This window comes from Homo sapiens, chromosome 6 (genome assembly GCF_000001405.40).
Source record: "Homo sapiens chromosome 6, GRCh38.p14 Primary Assembly".
Taxonomy (NCBI): domain Eukaryota; kingdom Metazoa; phylum Chordata; class Mammalia; order Primates; family Hominidae; genus Homo; species Homo sapiens.
Genome location: NC_000006.12, coordinates 7,167,785 through 7,181,097, shown reverse-complemented (window position 1 = coordinate 7,181,097; position 13,313 = coordinate 7,167,785). Strand labels below are relative to the sequence as shown.

At 45.9% G+C, this 13,313-nt stretch overlaps 1 protein-coding gene across 4 annotated transcripts in view, besides 2 other annotated features; it reads right to left on the bottom strand.

The window, feature by feature from the left end:
* The window catches only part of RREB1 (ras responsive element binding protein 1), a 144,238-nt gene that overhangs the window by 70,883 nt on the left and 60,042 nt on the right, over positions 1–13,313 (bottom strand). For all 4 annotated transcript variants that reach the window (NM_001168344.2, NM_001003699.4, NM_001003700.2 and 1 more), the window contains exon 2: positions 4,325–4,443. The gene's annotated coding sequence lies outside the window, so the exon portion shown is untranslated. The remainder of the gene's footprint in view (positions 1–4,324; positions 4,444–13,313) is intronic.
* Positions 11,129–11,628: an enhancer, noted in NCBI's record as "H3K27ac hESC enhancer chr6:7169703-7170202 (GRCh37/hg19 assembly coordinates)". NCBI's record gives its function as "activates a minimal SCP1, AML or CMV promoter by ChIP-STARR-seq in primed H9 embryonic stem cells {active_cell/tissue: H9 hESC(primed)}" and the evidence as "EXISTENCE:reporter gene assay evidence [ECO:0000049][PMID:30033119]".
* Positions 11,629–12,130: an enhancer, noted in NCBI's record as "H3K27ac hESC enhancer chr6:7169201-7169702 (GRCh37/hg19 assembly coordinates)". NCBI's record gives its function as "activates a minimal SCP1, AML or CMV promoter by ChIP-STARR-seq in primed H9 embryonic stem cells {active_cell/tissue: H9 hESC(primed)}" and the evidence as "EXISTENCE:reporter gene assay evidence [ECO:0000049][PMID:30033119]".

Below are 13,313 nucleotides of genomic sequence, written 5' to 3'. Positions count from 1 at the left end.
GAACATCTTTTCACTTAGTGAAGAAAAAACTGAAATCATTTATTGGCTATAATCTTAGACCACTATATTCACAACAATGCAAGGAGCACAAATGAGAGGCAATGTCTGCCTTTCTTTCTTCCAAAACCACATTCTACAGCTGTTTCTCAACCTTATCTTAACCCCTACAGTACTGCCTGTTACGCACACTCCCAACAGCCAAAAGGACTCTGCAGTAAAATTTTACTTTCTAAAGCTCATATTTATACCCATGCATCAAATTCTCTTTCACACTGTGCCTCAGTCCCTTGCAAGGATGCTCAGGCTCCACTTGACCCGTCTCACGCCTTTATCTAAAAGTGACCAAAGACAAAACAGTTCAGGCATTCACTAAAGGCTGAGTTTAGACACTCTCAGGACAGACCTAAAAGAAACCTGGCGACATGAAAAGAATGACCAAAGGGAAAACTATGGCCCATGGCCATGTCACAATTTACTTTTTCAGGCCATGTGCGTTCCTTGCAACTAGACTATTATGGCTACAGGTCCAGTCAGTAGGTATGAAGTCTACTGCTTCCCTCATTTTAACTAGGAGGATATTCTACAGCTGAAGCCCTACCATAAGGTAATTGGATATTAAGATCCTATTATCCCACAATGTGTGCTAATAAATTCTACGAGTCCACAACAGCAGCTGAAGATCAAGCTCATCATCTCAGCTGTAAAGAGAACGTGTAGGAACAACACAAGGAAGAATATGATTTCTCATGGCTTCCTCCTCCAACTTTAGGGGATATGACCTAGCATATGAGAAATGGTACCACCCAGAGCAGCTACAAACCTGCAGTACCAGCCTAAATTCTTACCAAAAGGGCAAAAGGGAATCTTAGGGAAAGCACTTGTCTTGTAAAGAGATAAAATGTACCTTCCTTGTCAATAGACATTTTGAAGATGTGAATCAAATGGTTTTCCAACTGGTAGGTAAAAGGACTAACCGCAGAAACATACAATTTGAGACTATGGATCCAGCCTCTTTGTCCACATCTTTCTCCATAAAGAGAAGAAAGCTACAGCCCCCACCCCCCAAAAAAACATCTATACTTTCATCTTTCCATGACATTTCCCCATGCTAGCAGACCCTTTAAATTTATGAAGAATTGTGCTTCACACCGGGCACAGTTGCTCACAACCTTAATGTCAGCACTTTGGGAGGCCAAGGTGGGAGGGTCAACTCGAACCCAGGAGTTCGAGACCAGCCTAGGCAACACAGCAAGACCCTATCTCTACAAAAGATTTTTTAAAATTAAAAGAAAAAAAAAAAACTGTGTTTCAAACTTTCTGTTTTTAACTGTCTTTGAAGGTTTATTTTGGGTGATTTCTCTATAGGGAAAAAACATGTAGACACAAAGTGCATACATGAGTGTGTACACACAATTTTTTCTTAATGGACTACTAAAAAGAGAGTCATCAGTCCCTAGAATTTTTGTAATCAATCACATAATTACATACTTGATTCATAAATGGATACCTTCAATACTGAACTCACCTCCTTCTTTTAAATACGTATATCTCCCTCACAATTTTAATGTACAGAGAATTACAACATAACTGACTAGAAATCTCTCTTTCCTGTAATTGTTACAAACTTTCCACCAATTTATACTATGAGTTTTGAAGATGATCTTGCTTTTGTCCTATTACTACATTTAGAAAAGAGGGCTACTCCCAGCTACTTCAGAGGCCGAGGCGGTAGGATTGCTTGAGCCCAGGAGTTCAAGTCCAACCTAGGCAAAACAGCAAGACCCCATCTCAAATTTTAAAAGCAAAAACAAACAAACAACAAAATGTGTGTGTATGTGTGTAGAAAAAGGAAAGAAAAATGTGGTAGAGTTAGAGTTTGCTCAAGTCTGGGAACAGGTTAAACACCTTTAAGACTAAATGTAAAATTTTAAGTTATAAAAAAAATTCTAATTCTATCATTGAATAAGGGAAGGAAGTGGAGAGGAGGGAAATAATAAGCAAAGTGAAAAAAATATATTCACTAAACAGAGCCAAATTGCCAGTAAAAATTCTTTTCAGTCATGTTATCAAAGATACATTCTTGCAAACTACCTAAGTGTCTTAAACACAGAAAGCCTAGCAACAGTCAGTATAGTTAACCAATGTAAGGGCTGAAAATTGCAAAAGCTTATCCCACTTGAAAAGGAGAAAAGCCTTGTTGTTTGCCATTTTGTCTGGACAGGAAGATATTTGCTAAACATGTTTCTTCCTTGGGGATAAAGTATAAAGTGTGACACTACCCACTGATGACACCAAGATCACTTACATTTACTTCCTTTTCCTATTTTAAGTAAATAACAATTAAAAAAAAATAGAGACTCATCTCTAATCTGAAAGCGTAATTAATAAAATGAAACTCATAGCTACACTGTTTGAAAAAAAGAAAAGAGTCACTGGCCTCATCCCTGAGAATCTGTTCCAGAAGGAACCAACAACCAGCCCCTTGGGCTGTGACAAGATTGTACTTCAGTTTGTTCTTATGTCTTCTATTTGAGTTCTTCCTTCAGGACCACAGAGCAGGGAAGAAGGGGAAGAAGCTGGTGCAAGGCACAATGGAGCTCATTGTTCTACGTTAGAAAAAACCCACCATAACATGCGGGCTCTTCTACAAGATCATCGAACCAGAGCAAGCTGGCCAGTATTAGTTGGTCCTATCTACCCTATAACCACATCCTGGACAATTTTGGAACAACAGCCCAAACTAACCAACCTAAACCCTCTGATACTCAATCTCGGGGAATAAAAGACCATTACTAACATTTTTATGGTCTATTCACAAAGCATTTTTTTCTTTCTGGATATTTACAATCCTAGACTTTTCATTCTTTCTTCTGCAACATTTCTTCTCCCTGACATCACTCCAATATTAGTAATAATATATGTTATTATTATAAAATAAGGCCAGGTGTGGTGGCTCACACCTGTAATCCCAGCACTTTGGAAGCCTGAGGTGGGAGGATGGCTTGAGGCCAGGAATTTGAGACAAGCCTAGGAAACACAGCAAGACCCCACCTATACAAAATAAAAATCAGCCGGGGCCGGGCACAGTGGCTTACACCTGTAATCCCAGCACTTTGGGAGGCCAGGGTAGGCAGATCACCTAAGGTCAGGAGTTTGAGACCAGCCTGGCTAACATGGCAAAACCCCGTCTCCCCTAAAACTACAAAAATTAGCTGGGCGTGGTGGCACATGCCTGTAATCCCAGCTACTCAGGAGGCTGAAATAGGAGAATCGCTTGAACCCAGGAGGCAGAGGTTGCAGTGAGCTGAGATAGCCCCATTACACTCCAGCCTGGGTGACAGAGCAAGACTCCATCAAGAAAGACAAGAAAGACAGAAAAAGAAAAGAAAAGAAAAAAGAAGCCAGGTATGGTAGCATGTGTCTGTAGTCCCAGATACTTGGGAGGCTGAGTGGGAGGATCACAGGAGCCCAGGAGTTCAAAGCTGCAGTGAGCTATGATCACACCATTGCATTCCAGCCTGGGCGACAGAGTGAGACCCTGTCTCTTAAAAATAAATATCACTGGTCATATTCTAATATAATCTCTTCCAACTGGAATCAGCACTGGGAAACCAGATGAAGTTCCCAAGTCATAGATATGATCAACATTACCAAGCAGATGAACCTGGTGTTCCAGTTTTTAACACACATGGTCTGGATTTGGAGGGGAGGGAGGGAGAGAAAAGGGAAAAAAAAAAAGAGAGAGATGTCCAAAGTGTTGCTTCCTGAGACGAACCCTTGGCACCCTTTCTCATCCCACATTTCAGGCCCATCAGATCAAGAACTAACAAGTTATAGTTACAATTTCTTTCCTCCTTTTTTTTTTTTTTTTTTTTTTTTGTGAGACAGTCTCACTCTATTGCCCACACTGTAGTGCAGTGGCACTATCTCAGCTCACTGCAACCTCTGCCTCCCAGGTTCAAGCGATTCTCGTGCCTCAGCCTCCTGAGTAGCTGGGATTACAGGCACGCACCACCACGCCTGGCTAATTTTTTTTTATTTTTAGTAGAGATAGGGTTTCACCATGTTGGCCAGGCTGGTCTTGAATGCCTGGCCTCAAGTGATCTGTCCGCCTCAGCCTCCTAAAGTGCTGGAATTATAGGTGTGAGCCACCATGTCTGGCCTAGTTACAATTTCAACACGATTTTGCAACAAAGCCTCAGGAGGACCTGGAAATGGCATGACAATTAAACGGGAGGTAGGGGAGGGTAGGAGAGGAGGGCATGGGAAGACTCGACGTTCAACATTATTGTGACTCACTGCGAGTGAAAACTGTTTCACTAACCTGTTTTCTTTGTGTTATCAAGCTGCCCTCCTTATTGGGGGGCTGAACCTGGCTGGGCCCAAACGTGGGCAGGGTCACACCTCAGAGCCACCACTCCTGGAACACACAGTCGGAGCAACCTACAAAAATAAGAAAAGGTGATGTTAAAAGAGGATTAAGACCAGAAATGGTCCTCTGCTCAACATCACCGGGAGTCACCAATTAGGACTAGAAAACATTTCCCATCCCTTGCCTGCAATTACAAGCAAGCTGCCAGGAGCCAGGCTGATTCCATCCAGAGTTGTCCCATTAACATCCAAGTAAGAGCTTGGAACTGAGTGTGCCTTGAACAGACAGGAACACCCCTATCCCCCAGGCACATTCCAATAACGTCAAGGGCAGCACCATGTGAGAATGGCTCGGACCACTGGCTCCGGGGGGGAGCTTCGTGCATCCTAATGGCATGTTCACAGCAGACACCTACAGACTGCCAGTTTAACAAGAGAAAAGCAAGGCAGCAATTAGTGCTATCAGAAACAGAGGGGGAAAAATAAGACAGTTGAAGAAATTAAGAAATATACAACTAGCAGTGGCTCATGCCTGTAATCCCCGCACTTTGGGAGGCCAAGACTGAGCAGATCGTTTAGCTCAGGAGTTCGAGACCAGCCTGGACAACATGGTGAAACCCTGTCTCTATAAAAAACACAAAAATCAGCTGGGTGTGGTGGCATGCGCCTGTAGTCCCAGCTACTCTGGAGCTGAGGTGGGAGGATGGCTTAAGCCCAGGAGGCAGAGGTTTCAGTAAGCTGAGATTGCACCACTGCACTCCAGCCTGGGTAACAGAGCCAGACCTTGTCTCAAAAAATAAATAATAAGAAATATACAACTAAACAGTGCCTTAAAGTAGAGGAGAGATGATTACATCCTCTCGCAGGTGTGAGGAGAAAGTGTTGGTAACACACGTCAAATAGGACCAAATGCAGACCTTTTCCTTTCTGTAGGGAAGATGCAGAAAACATCTCAAATTACACATGCCCTTCAAAAGTTTGAGCAAGTCTGCTCTGGGGTGTCAAGGGCTTCAAAGCCCTGTGCTGGGAGAAAACTGGAATGCAGCATCTCCCAGAGCTACAGCATGTGGCCACATTCCCTGGCTCTCAACACAGCCTCCCTCAGCTAACGTGAAGAGCACAAAACTGGGAGAAAACTCAGAGGTAAAATAAACCCCACACGGACAACACCGGGCGAGAAACAACTGCTTGGCATATTTTCTCACTTTTATTCCCCTTCTGGAGCATCTACAGACAAGCTGCCCATCCATGCCACACAGCTGTCACCATGAACCTCAGGACTAACCCACAGGGACGGACCCTGTGCCACAGAAGGGAATGCAGAGACCCTCAAACTGGACATTATACCCCCCCCATCCCACCCCACTGAAACAATGCACATACTCTATACTCAACATTTTCATTCAGTACCAGGAGGGTCAGGGACCCTAGAAACCCACCCAGGGACAGCAGGGTAAGAATCCCTGTTTTGCGTGACACATGACCTGCCCTCTTGTAAACTATGAATCAAGCCCATTTTATGAAAAATACCCGTGGAGTTTTCAGAAATGCACAAACATCCTTTCAGACTATCTTCACCCATCTAAGGTGAAATTAAATATTGCTTAAAAAAAAGCAGTTATTCTTTTTTCATATTTTAATTAATAACAAATTTCATTAGGAACAAAGCCTGAAGAGGAATAGCCCTTTGGTTTTTTTCTAGAAACTGCCAAGATCTCCAAATAAATAGCATGAACCATAGTTTTACTCATAATTAATAAAAACACACTTCAAAATAAAAAGATATAACAAAAATTAAAATAAATAAATAAATAAATAGGCCAGGCGCGGTGGCTCACATCTATAATCCCAGCACTTAGGGACACTGAGGCAGGTGGATCACCTGAGGTCAGGAGTTTGTGACCAGCCTGGCCAACATGGCAAAACCCCATCTCTACTAAAAATACAAAAATTAGCTGAACATCATGGTGCACACCTGTAATCCCAGCTACCTGGGAGACTGAGGCAGGAGAATCACTTGAACCCGGAAGGCGGAGGTTGCAGTGAGCTGAGATTGTGCCTCTGCACTCCAGCCTGGACGACAGAGAGTCTGTCTCAAAAAAATAAATAAATACAATAAATAAACACACTTCAGAGTCTAAACAAGTGTCTAGAATTAAGATTTTCTAGCATGTAGCTAAGACTTCCATTAAAATTTAGATCTGCTGCCTCCCCTTCATTTCATTTTATTTTATTTCCCTTCATTTTAAAAAGACACCTTAAAAAAAGGTCCACCGGGTAGCGTCCTGGAAGCACACAGGACAGCAAGGAGAGGATGGTTTTAGAGAAAGAGGGCTAGGCTGAGAGACTTGACCTTGAAACTTCCATCCTCTTGCCCTTGGGTGTAAATGATTTGAATATTGAGAATGTCTTGCAATATAAAGCCAGAGTTCACGAGGCTGTTTGTTTTGGGTTCTATTAGGCCTGAGGGAGTCACAGAGCTTGAAGAGCGGAAAAGTACAAAAGAGTTATTAGAAGAAACTCTAAGACACCCCTTACCTCCATCAACAATGCTTCAGAAAAAAAAAAAAAAAAAGGAAAGACTAGTAGCACCCTAAAGATGACTCCTGTAGGTGAAGTGTGACAGAAAGCCTGGGTCTGGTTGTTGGTGGAGGCTGCTGAATTTCTGGATTTGCACTCCCACAAGATTTACGCAAAGTCAACGGAGGCAGGAGGACTAAGAGAGGGCGGAAGTCCCTCTGTGGGAGGAGGGAAAGGCCAGCCCCCAAGCCCCGGGGGAGATACGGGACAATGCTATGTAAAGCCAGAAACAGAAGATTAAGGGGCAGGTCTCCAGGTCTAAGGAGACAGCAATGAAGAGATGAAAGATAAGGGCTGCATCCCAGCTTCTGAAAAACCCGAGGGTTTCTTTCCTTTTTTTTCTTTCTTTCCCTTTTTTTTTTTCTGTCGCCAAGGCTGAAAGCCTGTAACCTCTGCCTCCCTGGTTCAGGCGATTCTTGTGCCTCAAGCCTCCCGGGTAGCTGGGATTACAGGCGTGTGTGCCACCACACCCGGCTAACTTTAATTTTTGCATTTTTAGTTGAGACTAAAATTGGGTTTTTAGGGTTTTGCCATGTTGCCCAGGTGGGTCTTGAACTCCTGGCCTCAAGTGATCTACCCGCCTCAGCCTCCCAAAGTGCTGGGATTATAGGCAAAAACCTGAGAGTTCTTTTTTTTTTTTTTCTTCATGTTTTTGAGACAGAGTCTCATTCTGTCGCCCAGGCTGGAGTGCAGTGACGCGATCTTGGCTCACTGCAATCTCCGCCTCCTGGGTTCAAGTGATTCTCCTACCTCAGCCGTGCACCACCACGCCTGGCTAGTTTCTGTATTTTTAGTAGAGACGGGGTTTCGCCATGTTTGCCAGGGTGGTCTCGAACTCCTGACCTAAGGTGATCCAAACCGCCCCAGCCTCCTGAGGGTTCTTGAAGTGAAATCTAAACTCTGTCCTAAGGCCCCCAGGAAATGTGGAATAAGTTTAGATGCCTAGGATGATGGTAGAGGCCCTGAAAAAAATGTTCCCACAGACGACAGAACAGTGGGTTTTACAACACTTGACCAGGATGGGCACAGTGCAGAGTCTCCACAACACCCTCAAATACTTGGGATGGCTGATCCATACTATGTAAGAGCCTAGTTGACCAGTTCAGGCCAACCCACGACAGGCTACAAGTTTTAGTTAAGAGATCAGACACTAAAATGGTCTGAGCCAGGAGGGAGCTTGACAAACAGCAAAGGCATCTCTTGAAGGATGGGCTGAGTCTTGGCTAGGCTGGGGACAGAATCAAACCAGGCTAAATGTTCCACGAGGGCCATGCCTGTTCTGCCTGCAAAGCTCGGGGCAAAACTATCTCTTCTAACCACCTCACATGTGCTCTGAGGGCTGAGACAGCTGTGATGACGGCTTTGAGTTCCAGGAAGTTGATGTGTTTCTTGGCTTAGGGTCCAGGCTATGCCTTGGATAGGGCGGCAACCCAAGAAAGTCACCCCCACCCCCCCACACCGGCAACCCGTGGCTGGCACAGGCTTTGGTAAGACAGGAGCCTTAGAGCAGGCCCCTACACCATGGGGCACCGTGAGCTGCTTCGTCCAACTCTGATCTTCTCTTCCTGGGTGAGAAGGGACTCCTAAGAGATTGGGGAGAGCTGGGCATGGTGGCTCATGCCTATAATCCCACCACTTTGGGACGGAGAGGCAGGAGGATCACTTGAGGTTAGGAGTTCAAGACCAGCCTGGGCAACACAGCAAAACCCATCTCTGATACAGAAAAAAAAGAAGCCGGGGTGGGGGGATGCATCCCTTGGTACAGGCCACATTCAAGACAAAAGTGCAGAGGTGAAGGGGGGCAGCAAACTTGGGACCCAAGATATATATGTCGGCCTCCTCTTTGGGTATCTTCTGAGCTCCAGAACACTCCTATACTCTCATCCTCTCAAGACTACAGCAAGCCAGGCACAGTGGCTCATGCCTCTAATCCCACCACTTTGGGAGGCCAAGTGGGAAGATCACTTAAGACCAGGAGTTTGAGACCAGCCTGGGCAACGAAGTGAGACCACATCTCTATAAGAAATTTAAATATTAGGCAGGTATGGTAGCACCCTCCTGCAGTCCCAGCTACTTGGGAGGCTGAGGCAGGAGGATTGCATGAGCCCAGGAGTGCGAAGCTGCACTGAGCTAGCATGACGTCACTGTACTCAAGCCTGGTCAACAGGGCCAGACTTTATCTCCAAAAAAAAAAAAAAAGACTAATGGTCAGGCTCTTTAACCTGCCATTCAAGAGTCTCCATGCTCTGGCCTCAGTCCACCTTCTGGCCCCGTCGCACACCAGTCCCCTTGGTTACCCTTTCTGCTCAGTTCCTTGCCCCAGAATATCTGCCTGCACCCCTCTCCTGACCTCATCCCTCATGGCCATGTTCCACATGACTCCCACTGACCCATGGCTCGTGGTTCCAAATTCCAGGACACACTCACCTCTAATGTTGCCATCACACCCATCACACTTCATCATGGCTAACCATTTTTGAGCACCATGTGCCACATGCACTGTCTCATTTAATCCTCAAAACAACAACCATGAGGATTGTTCCCAGTGTACAGCCATAAAGACAAAGGTTGAGAGGGACTGAGTCACTTGTCTCCAAGATCCTAGAGCTGCTGCGTGGTAGAGCAATGTAATAAATCCAGTTGCTGAACTCTGTTAAATTTCTTTTGGAAAAGTGTGCGACTCCTGGCCCATGGCTGGAGAGCACAGGTGTGCTCCCTTAGTCACGTTCTCTGACTTCTAATAATCTCGCTCTGCATCACTGCTGCCCTTCCAGATGCTCTGCACCTGGCTTTCCATTTCCGTCCCCGTCAAGGCAGGAAGGCGGAGTGCTCTCCTCCCCCTTCACCTCTGCCCTCCTCTCCCTGGCAGGAGGCAGAACTGGACTTCCACCTCAGTCTAAAAGGTTCGTTGCAGCGGGCAAGAGTTTGGAAACACTACGCTTGCTCTGCAAAGTGATGGGGCACTTCACGTTATATACCCTTGTGTTCTAGAAGCAGCCAAGCAAAGGAGGCTCTGCCTGAATCCTGAACAGTCTAGTCCTATCTGATGAGCTGACCTTGCAGAGAAGATCCACCAACACGAGGCAGGGAGAAATTAACTACTACAGACCCTCCACCAAACAAACCCCAAGGGCATGAGCATCCAGCCCTTTATTAGAAATGCAAATTCTCAGTCCCACCCCAGACCTACCGAGTCAGAAACCCTCTGGGGGCTGGCACAGCAGTGTGAGTTTCTGAGTTAACAGCTCTCTGGAGGCTTCCATCCAGCCCTGAGAACCAGCTCATGAAGAAGCTCAGGATCTCACTGAAAACCTTCCTTTAGTGAGGATTTGGGAGAAGCTGCTTGGCTTATCATACACCTCCAGAGCAAAAACCAAGGCCCTGGGTCAGAGACAAAGATCCCCATTTCTAACTCTGGCTTTATCTACCACAATAAAAAATAATAATAAATGAGGGACAGGGAGGAATGGATCTATGCAGGGCTTCCTCAGGAACAAACACACATCAGAGGTAGGCTTCAGACAGGCAAGGCCAGCCTGCAGTGCATGGCTGGCAAAACCACATGGCCTGGGCCTTCACGCAGCCCTGGATCCTAAAAGCCTTCTCTCCAGCAAACAGCAGTTGCCAAGCCTGTGGTACTTCCCGAAAAGCTCCTTGGAGGTGGTTGTGGATCACCTCCAAACCTGAGCCCTTCAGCCAGGATTCCTGGTGGCCCCGGATACCCTCCCTCACCTCTCTGCTGCTCCTGGGCAGTGAGGAGTGAGCAACAAGGGGCAGGTGACGGGGAGAACAGTTAGGGAGATGACCTCAAGGGGAGACACGCAGCCCTGGGGTTCCCTCTTACAGCCTTGGAAACTGCTCACCATCTACTACAGTTTATCTCTTAATGGGACCAGAGGGTGGAGGAAGGAAAATCAGAGGTCATTCTCACAGGCCAGGGTGTCTGCTCCTTACTCTGACTAGGTTTCAAATACCCCGCTGGTCTTGACCTGGAGCATTTTATTAGAAATAACACAAGCTACTGATGCTCCTTTTCAAAAGCAATGTCGGTTGTTCTTAGGTAAAGGAAAACTTCAATATTTTGTAAAGTGTGGGGGAAGGAGCAGCTTAATGCAGAGTAATAGGTTCCATGCAGGAAGCAGCTTCTCTTAAAAATCACTTGGACATTTAAATTATTACATTAAATATAACTTCAGCAGGGAGGCACACATTGACTGGGGAGACAGGGTCCCTGCCTACCAAATTTATCTACGTCAGTCAGATTGAGTATTTAAAACATGATCCACGGGAGAGCTAGGGAGATTTTCTGGACAATGCCAGATAAAACCATCCTGTGGTACCCCATTCTTCTTCCTGCACCTCTCTGCAAGGCTCTGTGCTTCTTTAAAGGAAGGAAATGGGGCACAGTCCCAGTGATAAGCTTTCCTGCTAGTACATGAGGACTATGAAGAAGCTGACTCCACTTCTTGTAGCTCTTCTCCAGGGAGCATGTCTTCCTGCCAGGATCTAACTACTGCCAGATTTGCAAGGCCAAGACACAGCTGCTAAATGGCAGCCATTTGTCACACAGCACCCGGCTCCCCTGGGAGGGGACACAGCAGCCCTCGGCACTCAGCTGTGGGAAGAGTTGAGTCCCTGGCCCTTTCCCCAAAAAAGCCAGACTTTTCCTAAACATTGTTTTTCAGCCTGCCTGCCAGGACCCTGGTATTTCATCACTTTCTTGCCTAACTTAGCAGAAACATGTATCGTCTCTACTCTGGGTGCCCAAGGTGGACTATGCTCTAATAAGGAAGCACCCATGCTGGACCACAGGGGCAGAGGGCCCACAGGGCACCCTCACCTACCCCCAGGGCAAGGCAGGGTTTCCTGGGCCAAGGCTAAAGATGTCCCACAGGGAATTAAGTTGAGCAGCTCCCCTGCCCTGTCCCACCCTAAGATCTGCTCTCCTGGCTTATCAGGTAGACCCAGGTGCAAGAAAGGGTAGGAAGAGGCCTCCACAACACACCTTGGTTGAGGAATTTGAAAACAGAAAAGAATGTTGCTATAAGTAACAGAAAACAGGATTCAAGTCAGAGTATACTGGAAATCTAATGTGCATCCAATTATATTTTTTCCAGAGCACCCACTTCCCTGATAACCTAGGGCACTAACACTTGTGACATAAACTCTATGCTAGAAATATGCTAGGCACTTTACATATATTTAATCCTCCCCCACATCTTGTAAGGTAATGATTAGGTTATTTGCTAGATATAGCACAGCTCTTAAAGGGCGGAGCCAGGAGTCTAGCCTGGGGTTGTCTGACTCCAAAAATCTTGTACTTTCCACTGTAGCACAAGAAGGGTCTTTGAAAAACCATTTGGAGAAGGGTCATTAGCAAGCTAGAGGATTGGGAAACCAAGTCAAGGGGAAAACTGGAAATGGCTAACAGAATGGAGACAAGAGCCAGCTACAAAAGCTGCAGGACTGGTGTGTGGAAGAGGGGCACACTCATTGCACAGGTCCACCATGGAAGGAATGAGGCACAAACAAGTAACTCTGGAGCTCCATGATTCTTTAAACCAGAGCTTTGAACTAAGCCCTCAGATGGATACAGGCCAGATAAGGTAATGAGCTCGCTGTCCCCAGGAGTCTTCAAGCAGAGGGTGGGTAACCACTAGTTAATTAAAAAGCAAACAAAAAACCCCAGTCCGGCAATGGGTGGGAGACCAGGTTAGAAGACTCTTCTGACTTCCAGATTCTGCACTTCTAAGGGGACAATCTATCTTGCATAACACTTGTCCTCTCTGCATAATACCTTAAGATTCCAAAAGCATGTGCAAGAATAAACCATTACAGCATAACTTTAAAAGCACATGACATGGGGAATCTTTTTTTTTTTTTTTTTTTTTTCAGACGGAGTCTCACTCTGTCACCCAGGCTGGAGTGCAGTGGCATGATCTCGGCTCACTGCAACCTCTGCCTCCTGGGTTCAAGTGATTCTCCTGCCTCAGCCTCCCGAGTAGCTGGGATTACAGGCATGCATCACCACACCCGGCTAAATTTGTATTTTTAGTAAAGATGGAGTTTTGTTGAACAGGCTGGTCTCAAACTCCTGACCTCAAGTGATCCTCCCACCTCGGCCTCACAAAGTGTTGGGATTACAGGCGTGAACCACCGTGCCCAGCCTGACATGGGGAGTCTTAAATTTTGGCCTGGAAATCCAGCTTGCCATCAATGGAGCCACCGAACTCTGAGCCTCAGTTCTCCTAGCTGAAAAATGAAGCTGATAACACTGCCCTCCTTACCTTACAATATAGGTTCAAAGGAGTGCTTGTTAAAATACTTTACAAACATTGTGGCATCCTCCAGCATGCGAGCTA